The following is a 21,725-nucleotide window of genomic DNA, read 5'->3' on the forward strand; positions in this document are numbered from 1 at the left end:
TTCCCCACTGATGTCTCTTAACCAAGAATATCCTTCAGCACTTTAAAGACTATGCTTGCTTTTTTTTTTTTTACCCAATATGCTTTGTAAGTTCCTCACACTAGTGATAAAGCACTGATCACTTCATAGCCACAGCACAAATGCTTTTAAACGAAACTTTTCGTTGATTTATTAACTCTAGAAAGTCAGATTGCAGTTTAGTGTTTTGGGGGGCTTGTTTGAGGCATCTCCTTTAGGAACCTGATTTTGGGTGGTTCAAAGTTTATTTTGTTATGTGTAAACTGACCAACTTTCTCTCTGGTTTTGCCATATATGCCTCTAGTAGAGAAAAAGGTGGGTGAGGAGAAAAGTGAGCATAATGACAATGAAAGCTTAAATTTATTAAGCATATTACTATGTACAAGTCACTTTTTACATGCCTTACCCAACTTAATCAAAAAGTGTACATGTAATAACTGGTGAGCAATGAAGTCATTGTGATTTCTCTGGGATTGCACATTTGGTCCAGGGAACATAGGAAAGTAGGATTAAGCCTCACTGTTCCTGCAGGATGACTTGAGGAAAAATCTCCTTTCTCTGGAATTAGAAATTTGGATCAGTAGAGACCATACGCCTTCCCCAAAACTTGAGCCACCCAACGTCCTTTCCTACACAAGATCACCTGACATAAATATACAAAACTACACATAAATTAATGTGGCACCCATGTCCCCACAGAAAACTGATGAGTTCTCGATTTTGACTGCCTTAATATTTGTGTAACTGCATTTCAGTCCAGGACTGTCATGCCTCCAACAGGCCTTTCCATTTGGATGTCCATGACAAGTTGGCCCCTGCAAATCTCGCTGTGGCCACAAAAGAGCATATTTGAATTATGGAATTGAAACAGATGCATGAACTTTAGCTGGAGAGCACAAGAGATCCAGAGAACCTCTGTCTTTTTGTTTGTTTCCCCGCTTTGGTGATGTAATACACAGCTTCACAGGAGACCTGAGGTCCTATCAGTCCCTGCTCCGACCCTGGAGCTCAATCCAGAAACAGCTGTCCAGAGCTAATTTATTTCCTAATGCTGCGGCACTGTTAATTTATAAATTACACTGGTAATTCGAGCTATTATTAATTTCAGATGGTGTAGGGCAAGCCTAATTAAAATATGACACCAATTGCCACACATATGTACCAAGGACTACCATTTAAAATTAATGGGAATATTAAGTGTGACACTGGTCTCCGAGATGCTTGGCACAGTAATTATAGCATTCTGGCAGGGGAAGATCTGACAAATGTAAGCCCGTGGTTGGTAGCAAATAAACAAGGACAACACAAGAGGAATTACAGATTCTTCATTTAAAGCTCTTCTCAATTCTTCCACCCATCCTCAAATCAAGGTTAGTACCTTTCCCCTAAAGATGCTTATCAAACAATATTCATAAAGGCTACTGAGACCATTAGAAGTGTCTTACTGGTAGGAACTATGAGTCTATTTGGGTTAATGTTGTTTGTCCTCTTCACATCCTGGTCTTTTTGGCTGTGTTTTCTACTTATGAAGAGGTTCCTTCTTTGTCTTGTGAATTTAGTATCTCTTTCTTGTTTGTTGTAATGGACATAGGCTGTTCTTTTCCTCTTCTGTATGTAACAGAGGCAAGAAACCGTCTGTACATACATAGTGTAGTTTGCATATGGCATGAAGATGTATGAGATGAGGCCCCGGTTGGGCCTACTGCTGGGCAGTGGCACAGACTTATCATGGCCAAAGAGTGCTGATCGAATGGAACAAGGCAGTGGCCCTTGTTCACAAGACCATGGTCTTGTTGTTGTTGCTGTTGTTATTGTTATTGTGGTTATCTTGACAAAACAGTGACTTCAACACTGTTATGGAACACATACAATCATCCCTTACATACCGCACACATCATCCCTTGTTGTATCGGTTTTTTACAGCTACTGTTTTCGTGCTCTGGGCCAGCAGAAACACGTGGCATTATGGAAGGGTTTTCTCACCTGGAGAGAAATGTCCCTTTGTTCCCTTTCTTGGGCCACTCATGTTAATACAGTGCTGCACCCCCTGAAGCTGTGCCTCCAACCAGATTATAGGAGTAATAACTAAATCAACAGGTGGGCAGCACACGAGAGTTTTGGAGTGCTTTCGTGCATGTGTGTGTGTGAGTGTGTACATATATATGTAGGCATGTTTGTGTGTTAGTCTAAATAGCCCCGTGACCCTGTGAGGTATTAGGATTGTATGTATATTATGTTTGGGAAAATGCTTCTCAATTGCTAGGGACAGCCTTATGCCTGTTGTCTGCTAATAATCATTAATTACTAGCACCTCATTTCCTTTTAAAGGTATCCAGGTTTAGGATGCTGTCTTTCTAATTACCCTCATTTAAGAGAGAAGGGAGGATAGCTTGGGATGTAAGCCCTAACTTTTGTTTTTCATTGTCTTTTGGCAAGGAAGCGAAGGCTCAGGTGCCTCTGGGAGAGAACTTTGAAATCTCCTCTAGCCTTAAATATCTTGGTCTTTCAATAACTGAGTGCTCATGGCCAGACGTCAGGCACAGAGTCTGGTATGTGAAGCGTTGTTATTATTACTCATAATTTTTCACTGAAGACAATGAGTCCCGCAATGATTAGGGGACTGAGTGGATTCGCAGCCACGTCGCCTGATGAATCTCTGACATGCTTACAACTAGGCATCGAGTGCGGAGTCCCATTGCTGGTCTGTCTTTAGGATCTTGTACCTAGGAGCTCTAGCAGATCGAAGTTTAGCACGTTGATTTCTGCCTATCCAATTAATTGTCTGAGTCAAAAAACAGAAAATTAAATTTTTTATGTTAGTGTTTCTGCTACCTTTGTGATGCACGTGTGTGTGTGTATGTGTATGTAGCTGCTGGTGTGGCATTTTCAATTAATTTATGCTCAAGTGTGCAGTCATAAATTTTATATTCAAGGCTCAGTCTAAGTGATACCTTGAGATCAGAAAGAGTTAAGGTGCCTGACTCAGATCCCAGAGCACGACGGCTTGGTAAGATACAGGCAGTGTAAATGTCAAAATTATTAATCACTTATTGGGACCAGTAATTCTCTAGGCACTGTGCTTTGTTCAGTTAGGAACACAAACATTTCAGCTGTTCCACTGGGGAGCCAAGGAAAAGTTGGTGGTGCGGAGGTGTAGAAGAGACGGAGGAGGGATAACCCACACAGTTCCTCAGAATCTGAACTTACAACTGGCAAATTATCTGCAGACATAACCATTTTATACTTTGTTTTCTAAGTGAACATGTTTGGTCTTTTTTTTCCTTGTATTTCACCACACGTTACCGGTTTTCCCGCAGCGGTTGGCTTTGTGAGTGAAGACGAATACTTGGAAATTCAGGGCATCACCAGGGAGCAGTCAGGGGACTACGAGTGCAGTGCCTCCAATGACGTGGCCGCGCCCGTGGTACGGAGAGTAAAGGTCACCGTGAACTGTAAGTGTTCTCACCACCACGCGCCCTGCACGTGCATCAGGCTGGCCTGTTGTCACAGCCACCACCCAGAGCCCATTGGCACAGCCAGCTACTGACTTAGGGTGGGAAGAATGCAGCACCACTTTCCACACTCTGCTTTCAGGAGCAAACATTTCAAACTCGAGTTTTTGACACTTCAAGGTGTCACAGTGTCACGCTGAAAGAAAAAGTAGCTAAAGTAACTGAAAATAATGCCAAACTTGACTTGCATGGCTGGCAGATCATTAAATGGCATTCAGCTCATAATTTTTTAAACACGTCTTCAAATCCAAAATTTTCCCATAATTTACTCACACAATACAGTTGTGCTGGAGCCTCTCACTGTCTAGACCAGACATCTCCATAATGGGACAAGAAACCATGTGCTAGAGTGTATGAAGGAAGTTTCAAACTTCCATTTATGGTATGTCTATTATATCTCATTATTTTACAATTATAGATGTGCATGGTATACATACAAATAGTTACGATATAGATCTTAGAGGATGTAACAATAAATTTGCTTGTTACTAATAGAGATACAGAATCCAAAAAGTTTGGAAGGTGCTGTGTGGACCCCTCATTCTCCTTTCTCAGCCTTCCAGATTGTCTCTGACATCAATCCTACTTGAATTTGCTACCTCCTTTCACTCTTTTCCCTCTGGGTCCCTCATTATGTACCTTGCCTTAGCTCCCTACAACATTCTGGAGGTTTTCTCTGCTGTGCACATTCCAGGAAGACTTACGAAGCAATAGAACTCAATAACTAAATCGGCAAACGAGATGACTTCCCTTCAAAACTTGGGTGGCGTGGAGTTAGGAGAAGGATACTGTATCTAGGAGAATATCCAGTCTTTCAGATTTAGGTTTGTGTTACAATGTGAACCCAGTCAATATGAAGCGGTTTAAGAAGCAAGGCAATAGGTATAAAAATGCTGTCATTTTAAAAATCATATCACAAGTTTTTACAAAGGGACTTAAGAGGATTTACAGTTTATAAAGATGAACTTAAAACATAAAGAAACAGAAGCAAAGAAAAAATACGCTTAGGAAAATGAGTGAAAGCTAGGAAAACCTCAGCACATGAAATATTACCACAAGACTGCTAGGTGCAGGTGCAGAATTTGGCTCAGCCTTGCTAAAGCAAAGAGGGAAACATCACCTGCTTTAAGATTTATGTTGTCCATAAGATAAAAGCAAATTAGTTGCTTGGGAGAAACACTGCTTTTCGTGGTACTGAGACCCTAGAGAAAATTCTCTTCAGGGTCTCCACAAATAGAGCACTTTGGGAGAGAGTCAGCAACATCATGTACAATATTTCTGCATTAAATAGAATAGCCAGTTTATTGTGGCTGTTTTTCATAATACCCTTTAATATAAACTGGTAGAATGTGAAGAGTAGTTTGGTAAAGACGTCAAATGAATGCAAACCAAGTGCGTAGGCCTAGCTTGGTCACTTGCTCTGGTTTGATTCAGGGATCTGTTTTAGAATACCAAGAATGACTGATCTGTATATCCTTCAGGCAATTCTCCTTGAATATTATTTCTTGCAACTGAGCTTTTGATGGGAATTGAATAGTTCGAGGTTATATACTTTTGGCAAGAACCTGGTGTGCAGAAATTCTAGAAGGCTGATTAAAGGTGCTGACTGTCAACCCGTGGAGTGTAGGGTTGATGGGCTGGCATCATCCTATGAAAGTTAAAAAGTTTAAACAGAAAAAATGCTTGAGTACATGGTCATTTCAACTCTGTACAGAGGAGAACAAAAGCAGTACATGAAAGGAAGACCCAGCTTTTTCTTAGAGCGGCATCAAAAAGGTTTTTATTCTCTGGTACAATTTATGTAGCAGTTTTACCTTCTAAGTAAGCAGAGCCAGGGCAGAGACTGAGAAACAAAATCAACAAATGAAGCAGCCTTCTTCATTTTAAAATGCTGTAGATCAGGTGCAGTGCCCTGTAATCCCAGCCCTTTTGGAGGCTGAGGCGAGCAGATCACCTGAGGTCAGGAGTTGGAGACCAGCCTGGCCAACATGGTGAAACCCCGTCGCTGCTAAAAATACAAAAATTAGGCAGGCATGGTGCCGTGCACCTGTAATCCCAATTACTTGGGAAGCTGATGCAGGAGAATTGCTTGAACCCGGGAGGCAGAACGTGCAGTGAGCCAAGATCATGCCACTGCATTCCAGCCTGAGCCACAAGAGCAAGACTCCATCTCAAAAAAAAAAAAAAAAAAGGTGGGGGGGCGGCTATGAGACATCTTCTTTTTGCAGATCCACCATACATTTCAGAAGCCAAGGGTACAGGTGTCCCCGTGGGACAAAAGGGGACACTGCAGTGTGAAGCCTCAGCAGTCCCCTCAGCAGAATTCCAGTGGTACAAGGATGACAAAAGGTAAAGCTTCCTTCTTTCCTATCCCACCCCTACCCCCATCTCCAGGAGAAACTTTTCCAGGGTCCTGATTCCACATTGTTGCAAACGAGTTCTATAAAATCCTCTTCTGAACTTATCTCTATAGGGGGCAAATGTGCAAAGAAGTCTTTTCTTAACATTAATGGATTTCAGCTACGTTTTTAATGTCACCATGTAGAATTATCACTGGCCAACCAACAGATCTGAAAGGTAACTTTTTTTAGGAAGGCAAAATCACAAAGGAAAGGCCACCAGGAGCATTGTAAGGCCTGTGAATTTTTTATAGGCCAAGAACATAATGTGTTCTGCCTGAAGCTATTTTTACCACATTCTCAGGCTTGCGTAAAGGAGTTAGGAAGGCTCTCAGGGCCCTGGGAGTGGCTAATAAGTTAGCTGCAGCTAGTAGGTCTCCCCTCCTGTTCCAGACACTATCAGTAGCGGTGTATAAGAGTCCATGACCCAATTTAGCCCTCCCTTTGTGCCCAAGTTGTTCTTTTACTGTAGGAGAAAAGAGAAGGGACTATTCCCTTCCTTCCCATTGTCACAGCATCCTCGGGATATTTGTTGTGAGTCACTGAAGATGATCATTTCCAGGCTTTATCAAATGACATATCAGTGCAGGGATCAGTAGCTCAGTACAGCCAGGCACCATGGCAATTGCTGTTATCAAAGAGCCATTTTTAAGGGGGATGAACAACGGGAAATGGGCAAGAGCTGCCTGTGTTCAGAACATTTTCATTGAAAAAGAGGTGGTGGTATAGGGGATGCTAGAGAGTCCTGAGGTGTATGTGGGGTGGAGTAAGAGCAAGGAGTGGGGGAGGCCAGGAGGCTGAGAAGGAAAAACAATGAAGAGGGCATTCTGAGAAGGAGAGCAGCATGAGAAACTGCAGGCCAGGAGCAAGTGAATGGCCGCCCACGCTGTGTGCACGTCTTCAGCCAGCCTTGGCTTTGTTTCCTTATGAGGTCAGTCAGAAACCTAAAGCTCTTTCTAGTCTCTAGATCGAAAATTGAATTTTGTTTAGAACCACGTCAATCAGTTTTAAGATTCACTGGGTTTTATCATAATCCTCCCAAATGAAAAGCAGTGTTTTGTTTTTTTAAAAAAAAATTTTTAAGGACACATTCTGGCAGCTTCTAGTGAGATGTATTATATTCATGTAGCCCATTTTACAGATGAAAGAACTAAGACACAAAGGGGAAAAACAAACTCATGAAGAAATAGAGCTGGCTTTCCCCTTCTTCCAAGAAAGAAGAATCAAGCAGACTGGAGCGTGTTTTTCTGATAAATATGGTTTCCTTACTTAGAAATTCTGTTTCACTTATGCGTTTCCTCTTCGACCTTCTTATTGTACTAAGAAGTAAACTGAGGCATAAAAATTAATTATTGAACCAAACCAAACAAAAAACCTATTGAGCTATGGGGTCAGTTCCCAAATCTTCAATTGTCTAGGTCTTAATGAAAAGTCATCAGCTGCGTCCTATTATTCCAATTCTTTATTGGAGAAAAATAGAAAAAATACATATAAGGGAAAGCAAAATCTTAGAGGAAAATAAAGCAAAAGTGGCCAATGGCGAGTAAAAGGATGAGAGAGCTCTCCTCTGTGCAGCATCTCTGGTCACAATAGGGACAGCTGTCCCTGCCACCATTCACCCAGGAGGAGAGAGCAGGCTGGCAGGGCCAGGGACAGTCTTCAGAGGCCCCTGGCTCAGGCAGCTTTGTTTCTGTCTTTCTTTCAGTTCTTCTGATGGCCTCTCCTTTTCTCCCCTTTCCATTTAGTGGTTTAGTCAGTTTTCCCTTCCCTGCACATGTATTTATTTATTTCCAGTGTGCTGGCATGAGACAGGGGCTGTCTTTCCTCCTGGCACCCAGCTCAGCTGCAGCATCCCTGCCTCTGAGGTCCTGGTCACAGCAAGTTGGGTCTGCCAGGTAGGTCTCCCAAGGCATATTGTGTCTGCCCTGGGGGGAAGGCCAGCTCTAGCCCATCTCCCATTTTCAGTGAGATGAGCAGACTACCAAGGCAGATTAAAGGAAACTGTGTGGTGAGGACAGGCAGTTTTCTCAAGAGTTAGTTAGGTGAGAAGTCTTTTGGCCACATGCCAGAATGACTCAACTGCACGCTATTGTATGTGTTATCCAACAAAGGAAGAGGAATGGAATGCTATACCTACGGAAGGCCACCCATCCAACAGGGGCATTGACCAATGAAAAGTCCACAGCTTTGGTAAGAAACTGAGGCCTGGAAGCAGTGCGGGATGGAGGGGATGTGTGCCCGCACAGAGAAGGGGAAAGCGTGTCCTCCCAGGAGCTGCAAAGCCTGCAAAGTGCTGCTGGCCCCCTGTGCTGTTTTTAGCTAAAGACATTTCAGAGCTGTCAAGCAGGAGCCTACTTTCAGTTAAGTCTCTCCCCACTGCAGAGCTGAAATCTCATTCACAGTTTGGTTATGATGGGAAAGCTTCCTCCCCATGGTGGACGAATGGTGTCAAAACGGCCAGTGGGATCAATCAGCCTGACTTGCTCGCAGAATCCTCCCGGTGAGTGGTATGGACAGCACCCCCTAGAGGATCAATGTATACATAGCAAGCTGGAAATGTAAAAGTGGCCTGTGGCTGCACAGCCGGATGCCTCATTCCATTTGGACAGTGCTAGCATTTTAATGAAGCCGTGGACTCAGGCCAGTTCATTGCCCCTAGCGTTTGGAGAGGAAGGCTCCCAGAGGAACATCTACATAATGAAAAGCAAGGCAAGTCTGTCCAACCTATCTTCTGACTTCCCTGGAGGCAGATGTTGGGTGAGAACTCCGGCCAGAACCTGCCTCTCTTTTCTGATCAAGGTTACTGTAAGTTGCAGGAGTGGAGAAATTATTCTGTAATCCCACAGAGACAGGTCTTCAGATAATGACAAAGCAGCTGCACTCTATGCCAAAAAACACTGTGACCCAGGGATGGGCAAGAGTCATCTATGTCTAACTCCATAGAAATACATTATACTGATGCCATTGTGCGGTCCGCAAAGCATTTCCTCATCATTGTCAAACAGCCTTGAGTACTGTTTGTTTTTCTCAATAGCATCCATTTGCCCCAAAGCATGTCCCCTGAATCTGTTCCAGTGTGCTCCCGCCATGTTATTATCTGCTTGCTACAAGCTGTGCTCCAGCCAGGCCCTAAACAGGAAACTTAGCTTTGTGTCCATATTCCCTGAGATCCTTCATCAAGAAGGGGTTTTTTGCCCCAAGAGTATTCATCTTTCCCATAGCATAGAATCAGCTTCAGGGCAAGGATTACAGATTGTTTGTTTCAGGGAAAAAGTAAAAGGTTGGCTTAAAGCTCATTCTAAGAAATGGACATTTCGGAATCTTGCAAAGGAAAGTAGGTGGTATCCATGATCGCCATAGGAATTGCTGTTAACAACTTCCTGAGAAGGAGGACATGTGCCTACTGACTCCAATAGCAGCTTTCTCCTTACCCTTTTATCTGCCTGGTAATAGAATCCATGGTTCTAATAAGCATACCTCACTTCCCCCAACTAACTAACTCCCTGTGGCATTTCTGTAGTGGCCCCCAGACCAATGCAAGTCCTTGTGGCTTACTGGGCTGCCATTGTGGAGCTCAGGGAGACTGTCCTGGCTCTAAAGGGACATATTCTTGGGAACCTCTAATCCTTCCAGACTAATCCTCTATAACAGTCTGGGCAGATCACTCCTCCCAAGCCCTTCAGAGTCCCCTGATGAGAAAAATGAGAAAATGATGATTTTTCTCCTCTTCATAGCCAAAAAATTAAGTATTATCTATACAATGCAATGCTTCTGGTGCTTCAGGAGAAATTAGATTACCAGGTGCTCGAAAAACATTTTTCTTTCAAATTCCTCAGGTGGCTCTTCTCTCAGAAGTTTGAGTTTTTCATTTGCATGGTTGTCATCATCACCATCACCATCATCATCATCAGGCCCACACATTTGAACCACCTACTGTGTGAATCGTATTGCTCTGAATGCCACACAGCTGGCAGGGGTTATTTGTTGTGGTGTTGCTGTCAGACTACAAAGCAAGGATGAGAGGCTAGGGAGATCAGATGTTCTGGTAGGAGTGCCCCTGGGCACATGTGTGAAAATCAAGAAACAACGTGTCACTCACTGTCTGTGAACTACTACTACATTATGGTGTGGTTGAGTGGATCAAATAATGGTTATAATGATGTCAGAAAGGGGGGCAAGGAGAAGACCAGGAATCCCTGGGCCTATCTTCTTCCTATGAGGACACATAACCATCTTGTTTTCTTCTTTTTTGTCTTTTGTTTCTCTCAGACTGATTGAAGGAAAGAAAGGGGTGAAAGTGGAAAACAGACCTTTCCTCTCAAAACTCATCTTCTTCAATGTCTCTGAACATGACTATGGGAACTACACTTGCGTGGCCTCCAACAAGCTGGGCCACACCAATGCCAGCATCATGCTATTTGGTGAGACTGTGCTCTGAGCTGGGCAAGAAGAGGGGAGAGGGTGCAGAACGGGAGAGCTGGGTGGGAGGGCCCCTCAAGGCCAGGGTCAGAGGTTAGCAGGGTATCAGTGGACATGGAGAGGGAGGAAAAAAAAGAGAGAGACACAGAAAGAAATGGAGAGAGAGGGACAGAGAGACAGGGAGGAGGCAGACAGAAAGAGAAAGAACAAGAGATACAGTTTACATGTATACAAAGTAGTATATGTATAGTACATGTATAAAAGTAGATCTCAGAAGTGGGAAAAGGAAAATGAAAAAGAATGTTCATGTTTCATTCTATAATGGAAAAGATCCCGAGATAGGAGAAAAATACTTTGGAATGCCAAAAATGACATTTGATTTTTTTTTTCTCAGTGATGATGGCTCCTAAGCTGACTGTGGGAATCATAATTGGGTAAAATAGTCAAGAACTCAGAGGGGAATGTTTGCTATTTCAGTCTTTGCTTACTGGCTTAGTGTAAAATTTTCCTTTTTCCAAAACTGTCTCCAGTCGCTGGGACATGAAGAGCCCCACCTTCGTCACATATCTGGCTACTGTATTGATATCAGAAGAAAGTGAGCGAGCTCCCTTGTAAACCCTGATGCCTGCCCCTGCTAGCAGACAGCTGTGCAGACATGAGCCTGCCTTCCTGGTGGTGCCACCAGGCAGGGCCCTGGGCCTCTCATGATGGCTCCATCCCTTGATGAACGCAGATTCTCCCTAAAGGCCACAGGATTAAATTCCGGTTGTGTTTTGGGCAAATTCCTTCATACCCCATCAAGTTCTTTGAGCTTGAGATTTTTCAAACCTGTCTCCCCAATCCCTCATGTTAACAAGCACTCTTGAATGTGATGGGGAAGTAAGGGGAGGCATTTGACAGATAATTTGCAAGAACACAAATTCCTTATATTCTGAAAACTTTGGGATAATCCCATGGCCCAGCCATGTGCCCTCGGTGCTAGCGTATGTGGCTTGCTCTGAATCACGAGCCTGCACTGCTTCACCACACGATCTCTGCTCACCCATTACATCCTCCTGCATTCTACCCGGCACAAATAGTAAATCCCAGCTTTATCTGAGAGAGCTGGGAAGGAGAAAGCCGCCCTTGATCCCCGAGCCAGTGGCTTGGAATGGGCAGAGCTGTGATTTGAGTGATTGATGTGTCTGGCATCTCTCACACAGGGATGATCATAAGAGCCCCTTGCATTTTTCATGCCTTTTTGCCTTTTTGGCAGGCGTCTGTCTGCATGAACAGAGACCAGGATTAGGAAGGAACAGACCCCTCCTTCCCTTGCTTTGCAAATCTAAATCTAAGGCTCCCCCTCAGTTTCCCATTAACCCAAGTCCTGCTCTCCACCCACAGCACTCCTCATCCTCACAGGGGTAGTCTTCCCCCCGCCACCCCCCACTTTGACCTACTCTCTCCTGACTTGGTTGCATGAAATGGTTCAGCCATTGGCTTTATCATGATTGTATACTTCCCCGGCTTCTTCTCCTTAAGCCATCTCAGGATGAGAATAGGGAGAAGCAGCAAACAAACAGTTCTCGTAAGAGTTGAATAGATGACATTTATGACAAGGAAAGCAGTGAAGTGCAGGTCATAAATATGCTCTTTTCAGCAGGCACACATGTAGCAATTACAATGTCTACTTCCCATGCCCCCCACCCTATGGGTCTATCAATCAGCATCTGCCCTGTGCCTCCTTTGGGACGTTTCTACCATTGCCAGCTCTCTGGCGTCCAGGGTTTTCTAAAAAGGACATGGAAAAGTAGTAGTATGTATTCAAATATGTTTAGAAAGAGTGGGTCACACCAAGATGAGTGGGGTACATGTGGGGATGTTCTTTAATGCCAGAAGTCCCGGAGCCTTAACATGCTAAATCTCTAGGGGAGAAAAAGTTTGCAGGATGTTTCAATCAGAAACCAATTTAATTTGTTAGCTTCAGTTGAGAGATCATTCCTGAGGAGTCCATCACTAGCAATGCTGCCTGGGTAACATAATTCTGTGGAGCTCGCAAACCCCATTCCTGTGTGAGATGAGTATTTGCAGCCAATAGTTCGGATGTTATTGTGGCTCCTAGGTTCATTATTGAGGCTCACCATCAATGAGGTCTTTTGACAAATATGAATTTGTTTGTTTGTTAGGGAATTTTCCATGTCAGTTTCCATTAAAAGCCAACAAGCACACTTGGGGCAGGTTGGAAAGCAGCATGTACTTTTTGCGAATATACAAACTTCTTGATGAAGTTAGAAAGGCAGCAAAATTATCATCATTTTGCCACCAACTTGTGCATAAACTGCACGCTCTCTCCAAGTGGCCTAGACGTTGAGAAGTGAGGAATTCTGGTGCAAGAGACCATAGTCGGCGGTCTGGGAATACTTAAGCCAAACGGGAGCAGGTTAGTCCTTCCCATCACAAGCACCTGATCGCTAAGGTGACAGGGCTTGCAGGGGCCTCTGAGAGTTCTGCTCCCGCACTCCTGAATCACAGTGCTCTGGGGAGCTCGTTCGTTCCTACCGTGGTGCCAGGGGCAAAAATTTCTGAATTTGGTGTCCTAAGATGAAACGATGGGGGTGGGGAAGTGGGAAACAAGTCTCATCTGGAAGGAAACTTTAGTCCTTTGTTATCCAGTTAGTAGCATGGCTCAGCATGAGCTAAGAGTGAATCCAACTGCACCAGAATATGTATGGCGTAACCAGCTCCCTGCCTTCCCAGTCACGGCATTCAATATGGAAACATAAAGCATGTCAGCGTTTCTCTTGCCGCACCTTGTCCTACGCCTTTGGTTTCTGTCTTCCTTTTTTTTATATAATCCCCCAGAAATGTCTGTGAAAGGCAGTATACAAACTATATATGACAAATATATAGCACTGTATATAATATATGTGTTTGTTCTCATTTTTCTCTCCTGTGTGTCCCTCAACCGATTTAGAACTAAATGAGCCTACGAGCTCAACTTTGTTGCAAGGTCAGTATCTTCCTTGCTTTATGTTTTGTCTCCCCTTCCCTCTATCCCAGAGGCCCCCTTCCCCTGCTGTGCATTACCCGAAGCACTTGTCTGTAAAGTGTCTTAGAGGATGTGGAAGGCTATTGAAGGAGGTGATTGATTGGGAGCCAGGGAGACTTCAAGCTCCCTTTGCTTTGCTCATCCCTTGCTCTCACTCCCCCAGGAGGGCTGGGAAGGGGAAAGAAAGAAAGAAAAGTATCGTTAAATTCTCAATGCCCAGGGATCAGCACAAAGGCAAAGGGTAGAGAGTGAGTCTGGGACCCATAGGAAGACTACTTCAACTGACTGAGCAGTTTTCATAAAAAGGGTCTTATTGATGACCCCTCAGCAGCAGAGTCAGACACCAAGCACATGATAATTCAGATATTCTGTCAAACGCATCAACTGGCTCATGAGGTTCTCCAAAGGAGGAGGATAGGCATGGCACTGCATGAGTGGTTGCCAATACACAGTGATTTCTAGGGGTGCTACTGGGGTCCAGGTTAGGGCCTGACGTCCAGTAGCTCTTTGGTCTTGGGTGACTCACTAAGCCTCATTTAGACTCAATTTCCTCTTCTTTACAATACAGTTGATCTACCTTATCCACCGTACAGAGTTGTTCCAACAGTCAATGGAGAATGCATGTTACAAAGGCTTTGAAAACTGTGAGGTGCATGTTGAATCTCCAGGCATAAACTGAAAGACAAGGATGCCCCTCAGTGGAACATCATAGGGGGTCCTTCACTCATTTCTCAGCCCCTTCTCCACAGTCCCTTTACATCCTCTTCCACTTCCAGTCCTCCCCTGCAAATATCTCCCGCGTCTCTTGCCTGTCTTTGCACATCCCTTCCAATTTTCTCACTAGCCTAGAGTGAGTGACTCATTAAGACTATGACTATGACTAAGCATCCAAGCAAGCAGTGGAATAAAATGGGTGCCGCGTGCACTGCTGTCACCCTGAGGACAGTGCTGACCACAGCAGTAGCCTTTCAGGAAGGCAGCTGTGAAGCCAGGGAGGGGAATGCTTCTCCCACCTTCCATCCCAATCCCCTGACCTCCTCTCCCCACCTCACCCCACCCTGTTCATCCCCTCACATTCTGGCCTTGCAAACTGTCATCAGAGGATGGCTGTAGACTTTGGAGGTGGAGGGGGAGATGAAAAGAAATGCATTACATGGGAAGGTGCATGACAGATGAAAAAAAGTACCTTTTTATCATGGAAAGAGTGAGGGCTGCATTACTCACTTTAGTGATGTACAGCACCACAGCGATGAGCCACAAGCAAGAAAATGAAACAAAGAAATAGAAAAAGTGAAGTCAATAGACTTATTCAGATTCAACCTATGATTCAACTTACGTTTATTGAACCTCCATGTGACTGTATTCACAGACGTAAAATAGAGAGCAGTAGAAAAGTGGCTAACAGCTGAGGAGCCAAGATGGCCGAATAGGAACAGCTCCAGTCTACAGCTCCCAGTGTGAGCGACGCAAAAGACAGGTGATTTCTGCATTTCCAACTGAGGTACCGGGTTCATCTCACTGGGGAGTGCCAGACAGTAGGTGCAGGACAGTGGGTGCAGCTCACCGTGTGCGAGCCGAAGCATGGCAAGGCATCGCCTTACCTGGGAAGCACAAGGGGTCAGGGAATTCCCTTTCCTAGTCAAAGAAAGCAGTGACCGTCGGCACCTGGAAAATCGAGTCACTCCCACCCTAATACTGTGCTTTTCCAACGGGCTTAAAAAACGGCACACCAAGAGATTATATCCCACACCTGGCTTGGAGGGTCCTACACCCACGGAGTCTCACTCATTGCTGGCACAGCAGTCCGAAATCAAACTGCAAGGCAGCAGCAAGGCTGGGGGAGGGGCGCCTGCCATTGCCTAGTTAGTTGTTTGATTAGGTAAAGCAGCTGGGAAGCACGAACTGGGTGGAGCCCACCACAGCTCCAGGAGGCCTGCCTGCCTCTGTAGGCTCCACCTCTGGGGGCAGAGCACAGACACAAAAGACAGCAGTAACCTCTGCAGACTTAAATGTCCCTCTCAGACAGCTTTGAAGAGAGCAGTGGTTCTCCCAGCATGCAGCTGGAGATCTGAGAACAGGCAGACTGCCTCCTCCAGTGGGTCCCTGACCCCCGAGTAGCCTAACGGGAGGCACCCCCCAGTAGGGGCAGACTGACACCTCACACAGCCGGGTACTCCTCTGAGACAAACTTCCAGAGGAACAATCAGGCAGCAGCATCAGTGGTTCACCAATATCCCCTGTTCTGCAGCCTCCGCTGCTGATACCCAGGCAAACAGGGTCTGGAGTGGACCTCTAGCAAACTCCAACAGACCTGCAGATGAGGGTCCTGTCTGTTACAAGGAAAACTAACAAACAGAAAGGACATCCACACCAAAAACCAATCAGTACATCACCATCATCAAAGACCAAAGGTAGATAAAACCACAAAGATGGGATAAAAGCCGCAAGATGGCTGAATAGGAACAGCTCTGGTCTACAGCTCCCAGCCTGAGCGACGCAGAAGATGGGTGATTTCTGCATTTCCATCTGAGGTACTGGGTTCATCTCATTAAGGAGTGCCAGACAGTGGGTGCAGGTCAGTGGGTGCACGCACCATGCGCGAGCCAAAGCAGGGCGAGGCATTGCCTCACTCGGGAAGTGCAAGGGATCAGGGAGTTCCCTTTCCTAATCAAAGAAAAGGGTGACGGATGGCACCTGGAAAATCGGGTCACTCCCACCCGAATACTGCGCTTTTCCGACGGGCTTAAAAAACGGCGCACCATGAGATTATATCCCCCAGCTGGCTCGGAGGGTCCTACCCCACGGAGTCTCGCTGATTGCTAGCACAGCAGTCTGACATCAAACTGCAAGGTGGCAGTGAGGCTGGGGGAGGGGTGCCCGCCATTGCCCAGGCTTGCTTAGGTAAACAAAGCAGCCAGAAAGCTCGAACTGGGTGGAGCCCACCACAGCTCAAGGAGGCCTGCCTGCCTCTGTAGGCTCCACCTCTGGGGGCAGGGCACAGACAAACAAAAAGACAGCAGTAACCTCTGCAGACTTAAATGTCCCTGTCTGACAGCTTTGAAGAGAGCAGTGGTTCTCCCAGTACGCAGCTGGAGATCTGAGAACGGGCAGACTGCCTCCTCAAGTGGGTCCCTGACCCCTGACCCCCGAGCAGCCTAACTGGGAGGCACCCCCCAGCAGGGCCACACTGACACCTCACACTGCAGGGTACTCCAACAGACCTGCAGCTGAGGGTCCTGTCTGTTAGAAGGAAAACTAACAAACAGAAAGGACATCCACACCAAAAACCCATCTGTACATCACCATCATCAAAGACCAAAAGTAGATAAAACCACAAAGATGGGGAAAAAACAGAACAGAAAAACTGGAAACTCTAAAAAGCTGAGCGCCTCTCCTCCTCCAAAGGAATGCAGCTCCTCACCAGCAACTGAACAAAGCTGGACAGAGAATGACTTTGACGAGCTGAGAGAAGACAGCTTCAGACAATCAAATTGCTCTGAGCTACGGGAGGACATTTCAAACCAAAGGCAAAGAAGTTGAAAACTTTGAAAAAAATTTAGAAGCATGTATAACTAGAATAACCAATACAGAGAAGTGCTTAAAGGAGCTGATGGAGGTGAAAACCAAGGCTCGAGAACTACGTGAAGAATGCAGAAGCCTCAGGAGCCGATGTGATCAACTGGAAGAAAGGGTATCAGCAATGGAAGATGAAATGAATGAAATGAAGCGAGAAGGAAAGTTTAGAGAAAAAAAGAATAAAAAGAAACCAGCAAAGCCTCCAAGAAATATGGGACTATGTGAAAAGACCAAATCTACCTCTGATTGGTGTACCTGAAAGTGATGGGAAGAATGGAACCAAGTTGGAAAACATTCTGCAGAATATTATCCAGGAGAATTTCCCCAATCTAGCAAGGCAGGCCAACATTCAGATTCAGGAAATACAGAGAATGCCACAAAGATACTCCTCGAGAAGAGCAACTCCAAGACACATAATTGTCAGATTCACCAAAGTTGAAATGAAGGAAAAAATGTTAAGGGCAGCCAGAGAGAAAGGTCGGGTTACCCTCAAAGGGAAGCCCATCAGACTAACAGCGGATCTCTCGGCAGAAACCCTACAAGCCAGAAGAGAGTGGGGGCCAATATTCAACATTCTTAAAGAAAAGAATTTTCAACCCAGAATTTCATATCCAGCCAAACTAAGCTTCATAAGTGAAGGAGAAATAAAATACTTTACAGACAAGCAAATGCTGAGAGATTTTGTCACCACCAGGCCTGCCCTAAAAGAGCTCCTGAAGGAAGTGCTAAACATGGAAAGGAACAACTGGTACCATCCACTGCAAAAACAGGCCAAAATGTAAAGACCATCGAGACTAGGAAGAAACTGCATCAACTAACGAGCAAAATAACCAGCTAACATCATAATGACAGGATCAAATTCACACATAACACTATTAACTTTAAATGTAAATGGACTAAATGCTACAATTAAAAGACACAGACTGACAAATTGGATAAAGAGTCAAGACCCATCAGTGTGCTGTATTCAGGAAACCCATCTCATGTGCAGAGACACACATAGGCTCAAAATAAAAGGATGGAGGAAGATCTACCAAGCAAATGGAAAAGAAAAAAAGGCAGGGGTTGCAATCCTAGTCTCTGATAAAACAGACTTTAAACCAACAAAGATCAAAAGAGACAAAGAAGGCCATTACATAATGGTAAAGGGATCAATTCAACAAGAAGAGCTAACTATCCTAAATATATATGCACCCAATACAGGAGCACCCAGATTCATAAAGCAAGTCCTGAGTGACCTACAAAGAGACTTAGACTCCCACACATTAATAATGGGAGACTTTAACACCCCACTGTCAACATTAGACAGATCAACGAGACAGAAAGTCAACAAGGATACCCAGGAATTGAACTCAGCTCTGCACCAAGCGGACCTAATAGACATCTACAGAACTCTCCACCCCAAATCAACAGAATATACATTCTTTTCAGCACCACACCACACCTATTCCAAAATTGACCACATAGTTGGAAGTAAAGCTCTCCTCAGCAAATGTAAAAGAACAGAAATTATAACAAACTATATCTCAGACCACAGTGCAATCAAACTAGAACTCAGGATTAAGAATCTCACTCAAAACCACTCAACTACATGGAAACTGAACAACCCGCTCCTGAATGACTACTGGGTACATAACGAAATGAAGGCAGAAATAAAGATGTTCTTTGAAACCAATGAGAACAAAGACACAACATACCAGAATCTCTGGGACGCATTCAAAGCAGTGTGTAGAGGGAAATTTATAGCACTAAATGCCCACAAGAGAAAGCAGGAAAGATCCAAAATTGACACCCTAACATCACAATTAAAAGAACTAGAAAAGCAAGAGCAAACACATTCAAAAGCTAGCAGAAGGCAAGAAATAACTAAAATCAGAGCAGAACTGAAGGAAATAGAGACACAAAAAACCCTTCAAAAAATTGATGAATCCAGGAGCTGGTTTTTTGAAAGGATCAACAAAATTGATAGACCGCTAGCAAGACTAATAAAGAAAAAAAGAAGAATCAAATAGACGCAATAAAAAATGATAAAGGGGATATCACCACTGATCCCACAGAAATACAAACTACCATCAGAGAATACTACAAACACCTCTATGCAAATAAACTAGAAAATCTAGAAGAAATGGATAAATTCCTCGACACATACACTCTCCCAAGACTAAACCAGGAAGAAGTTGAATCTCTGAATAGACCAATAACAGGATCTGAAATTGCGGCAATAATCAATAGCTTACCAACCAAAAAGAGTCCAGGACCAGATGGATTCACAGCCGAATTCTACCAGAGGTACAAGGAGGAACTGGTACCATTCCTTCTGAAATTATTCTAATCAATAGAAAAAGAGGGAATCCTCCCTAACTCATTTTATGAGTCCAGCATCATTCTGATACCAAAGCTGGGCAGAGACACAACCAAAAAAGAGAATTTTAGACCAATATCCTTGATGAACATTGATGCAAAATCCTCAATAAAATACTGGCAAACTGAATCCAGCAGCACATCAAAAAGCTTATCCACCATGATCAAGTGGGCTTCATCCCTGGGATGCAAGGCTGGTTCAATATACACAAATCAATAAATGTAATCCAGCATATAAACAGAGCCAAAGACAAAAACCACATGATTATCTCAATAGATGCAGAAAAGGCCTTTGACAAAATTCAACAACCCTTCATGCTAAAAACTCTCAATAAATTAGGTATTGATGGGACATATTTCAAAATAATAAGAGCTATCTATGACAAACCCACAGCCAATATCATACTGAATGGGCAAAAACTGGAAGCATTCCCTTTGAAAACTGGCACAAGACAGGGATGCCCTCTCTCACCACTCCTATTCAACATAGTGTTGGAAGTTCTGGCCAGGGCAATCAGGCAGGAGAAGGAAATAAAGGGTATTCAATTAGGAAAAGAGGAAGTCAAATTGTCCCTGTTTGCAGATGACATGACTGTATATCTAGAAAACCCCATTGTCTCAGCCCAAAATCTCCTTAAGCTGATAAGCAACTTCAGCAAAGTCTCAGGGTACAAAATCAATGTGCAAAAATCACAAGCATTCCTATACACCAACAACAGACAAACAGCCAAATCATGAGTGAACTCCCATTCACAATTGCTTGAAAGAGAATAAAATACCTAGGAATCCAACTTACAAGGGATGTGAAGGACCTCTTCAAGGAGAACTACAAACCACTGCTCAATGAAATCAAAGAGGATACAAACAAATGGAAGAACATTCCATGCTCGTGGGTAGGAAGAATCAATATCGTGAAAATGGCCATACTGCCCAAGGTAATTTACAGATTCAATGCCATCCCCATCAAGCTACCAATGACTTTCTTCACAGAATTGGAAAAAAAACTAAAGTTCATACGGAACCAAAAAAGAGCCTGCATCGCCAAGTCAATCCTAAGCCAAAAGAACAAAGCTGGAGGCATCACACTACCTGACTTCAAACTATACTACAAGGCTACAGTAACCAAAACAGCATGGTACTGGTACCAAAACAGAGATATAGATCAATGGAACAGAACAGAGCCCTGAGAAATAATGCCACATATCTACAACTATCTGATCTTTGACAAACCTGAGAAAAACAAGCAATGGGGAAAGGATTCCCTATTTAATAAATGGTGCTGGGAAAACTGGCTAGCCATAAGTAGAAAGCTGAAACTGGATCCCTTCCTTACACCTTACACAAAAATCAATTCAAGATGGATTAAAGACTTAAACGTTAGACCTAAAACCATAAAAACCCTAGAAGAAAACCTAGGCATTACCATTCAGGACATAGGCGTGGGCAAGGACTTCATGTCTAAAACACCAAAAGCAATGGCAACAAAAGCCAAAACTGACAAATAGGATCTAATTAAACTAAAGAGCTTCTGCACAGCAAAAGAAACTACCATCAGAGTGAACAGGCAACCTACAAAATGGGAGAAAATTTTCGCAACCTACTCATCTGACAAAGGGCTAATATCCAGAATCTACAATGAACTCAAACAAATTTACAAGAAAAAAACAACCCCATCAAAAAGTGGGCAAAGGACATGAACAGACACTTCTCAAAAGAAGAGATTTATGCAGCCAAAAAACACATGAATAAATGCTCACCATCACTGGCCATCAGAGAAATGCAAATCAAAACCACAGTGAGATACCATCTCACACCAGTTAGAATGGCAATCATTAAAATGTCAGGAAACAACAGGTGCTGGAGAGGATGTGGAGAAATAGGAACACTTTTACACTGTTGGTGGGACTGTAAACTAGTTCAACCATTGTGGAAGTCAGTGTGGCGATTCCTCAGGGATCTAGAACTGGAAATACCATTTGACCCAGCCATCCCATTACTGGGTATATACCCAAAGGACTATAAATCATGCTGCTATAAAGACACACGCACACATATGTTTATTGTGGCACTATTCACAATAGCAAAGACTTGGAACCAACCTAAATTTCCAACAACAATAGACTGGATTAAGAAAATGTGGCACATATACACCACGGAATACTATGCAGCCATAAAAAATGATGAGTTCATGTCCTTTGTAGGGACATGGATGAAACTGGAAACCATCATTCTCAGCAAACTATCGCAAGGACAAAAAACCAAACACCGCGTGTTCTCACTCATAGGTGGGAATTGAACAATGAGAACACATGGACACAGGAAGGGGAACATCACACACTGGGGACTGTTGTGGGGTGGGGGGACGGGGGAGGGATAGCATTAGGATATATACCTAATGCTAAATGACGAGTT

At 44.0% G+C, this 21,725-nt stretch overlaps 1 protein-coding gene across 45 annotated transcripts in view, besides 1 other annotated feature; it reads left to right on the forward strand.

The window, feature by feature from the left end:
- Nucleotides 1-21,725, forward strand: part of NTM (neurotrimin) — a 966,208-nt gene that overhangs the window by 933,739 nt on the left and 10,744 nt on the right. For 22 of the 45 annotated variants that reach the window (NR_170351.1, NR_170346.1, NR_170354.1 and 19 more), the window contains 3 exons: nt 3,336-3,470; nt 5,759-5,879; nt 10,199-10,350. Coding sequence is in view for 19 of the 45 variants with exons in the window: in NM_001352006.2 (NP_001338935.1) it covers nt 3,336-3,470; nt 5,759-5,879; nt 10,199-10,350 (408 nt within the window). In the remaining 26 variants the exon portion in view is untranslated. Of the gene's footprint in view, nt 1-1,941; nt 2,116-3,335; nt 3,471-5,758; nt 5,880-8,311; nt 8,430-10,198; nt 13,250-13,301; nt 13,338-21,725 lie in introns of those variants that run through there. The other 23 variants (NR_170352.1, NR_170347.1, NR_170355.1 and 20 more) reach the window with 6 other exon arrangements.
- Nucleotides 13,846-15,045: an enhancer, noted in NCBI's record as "CDK7 strongly-dependent group 2 enhancer chr11:132188093-132189292 (GRCh37/hg19 assembly coordinates)". NCBI's record gives its function as "activates an origin of replication core promoter dependent on BRD2, BRD4, P300/CBP, MED14 and CDK7 cofactors, with strong dependence on CDK7, by STARR-seq in HCT116 cells {active_cell/tissue: HCT116}" and the evidence as "EXISTENCE:reporter gene assay evidence [ECO:0000049][PMID:35650434]".

This window comes from Homo sapiens, chromosome 11, assembly GCF_000001405.40.
Source record: "Homo sapiens chromosome 11, GRCh38.p14 Primary Assembly".
In the NCBI taxonomy this organism is placed as follows: Eukaryota; Metazoa; Chordata; class Mammalia; order Primates; family Hominidae; genus Homo; species Homo sapiens.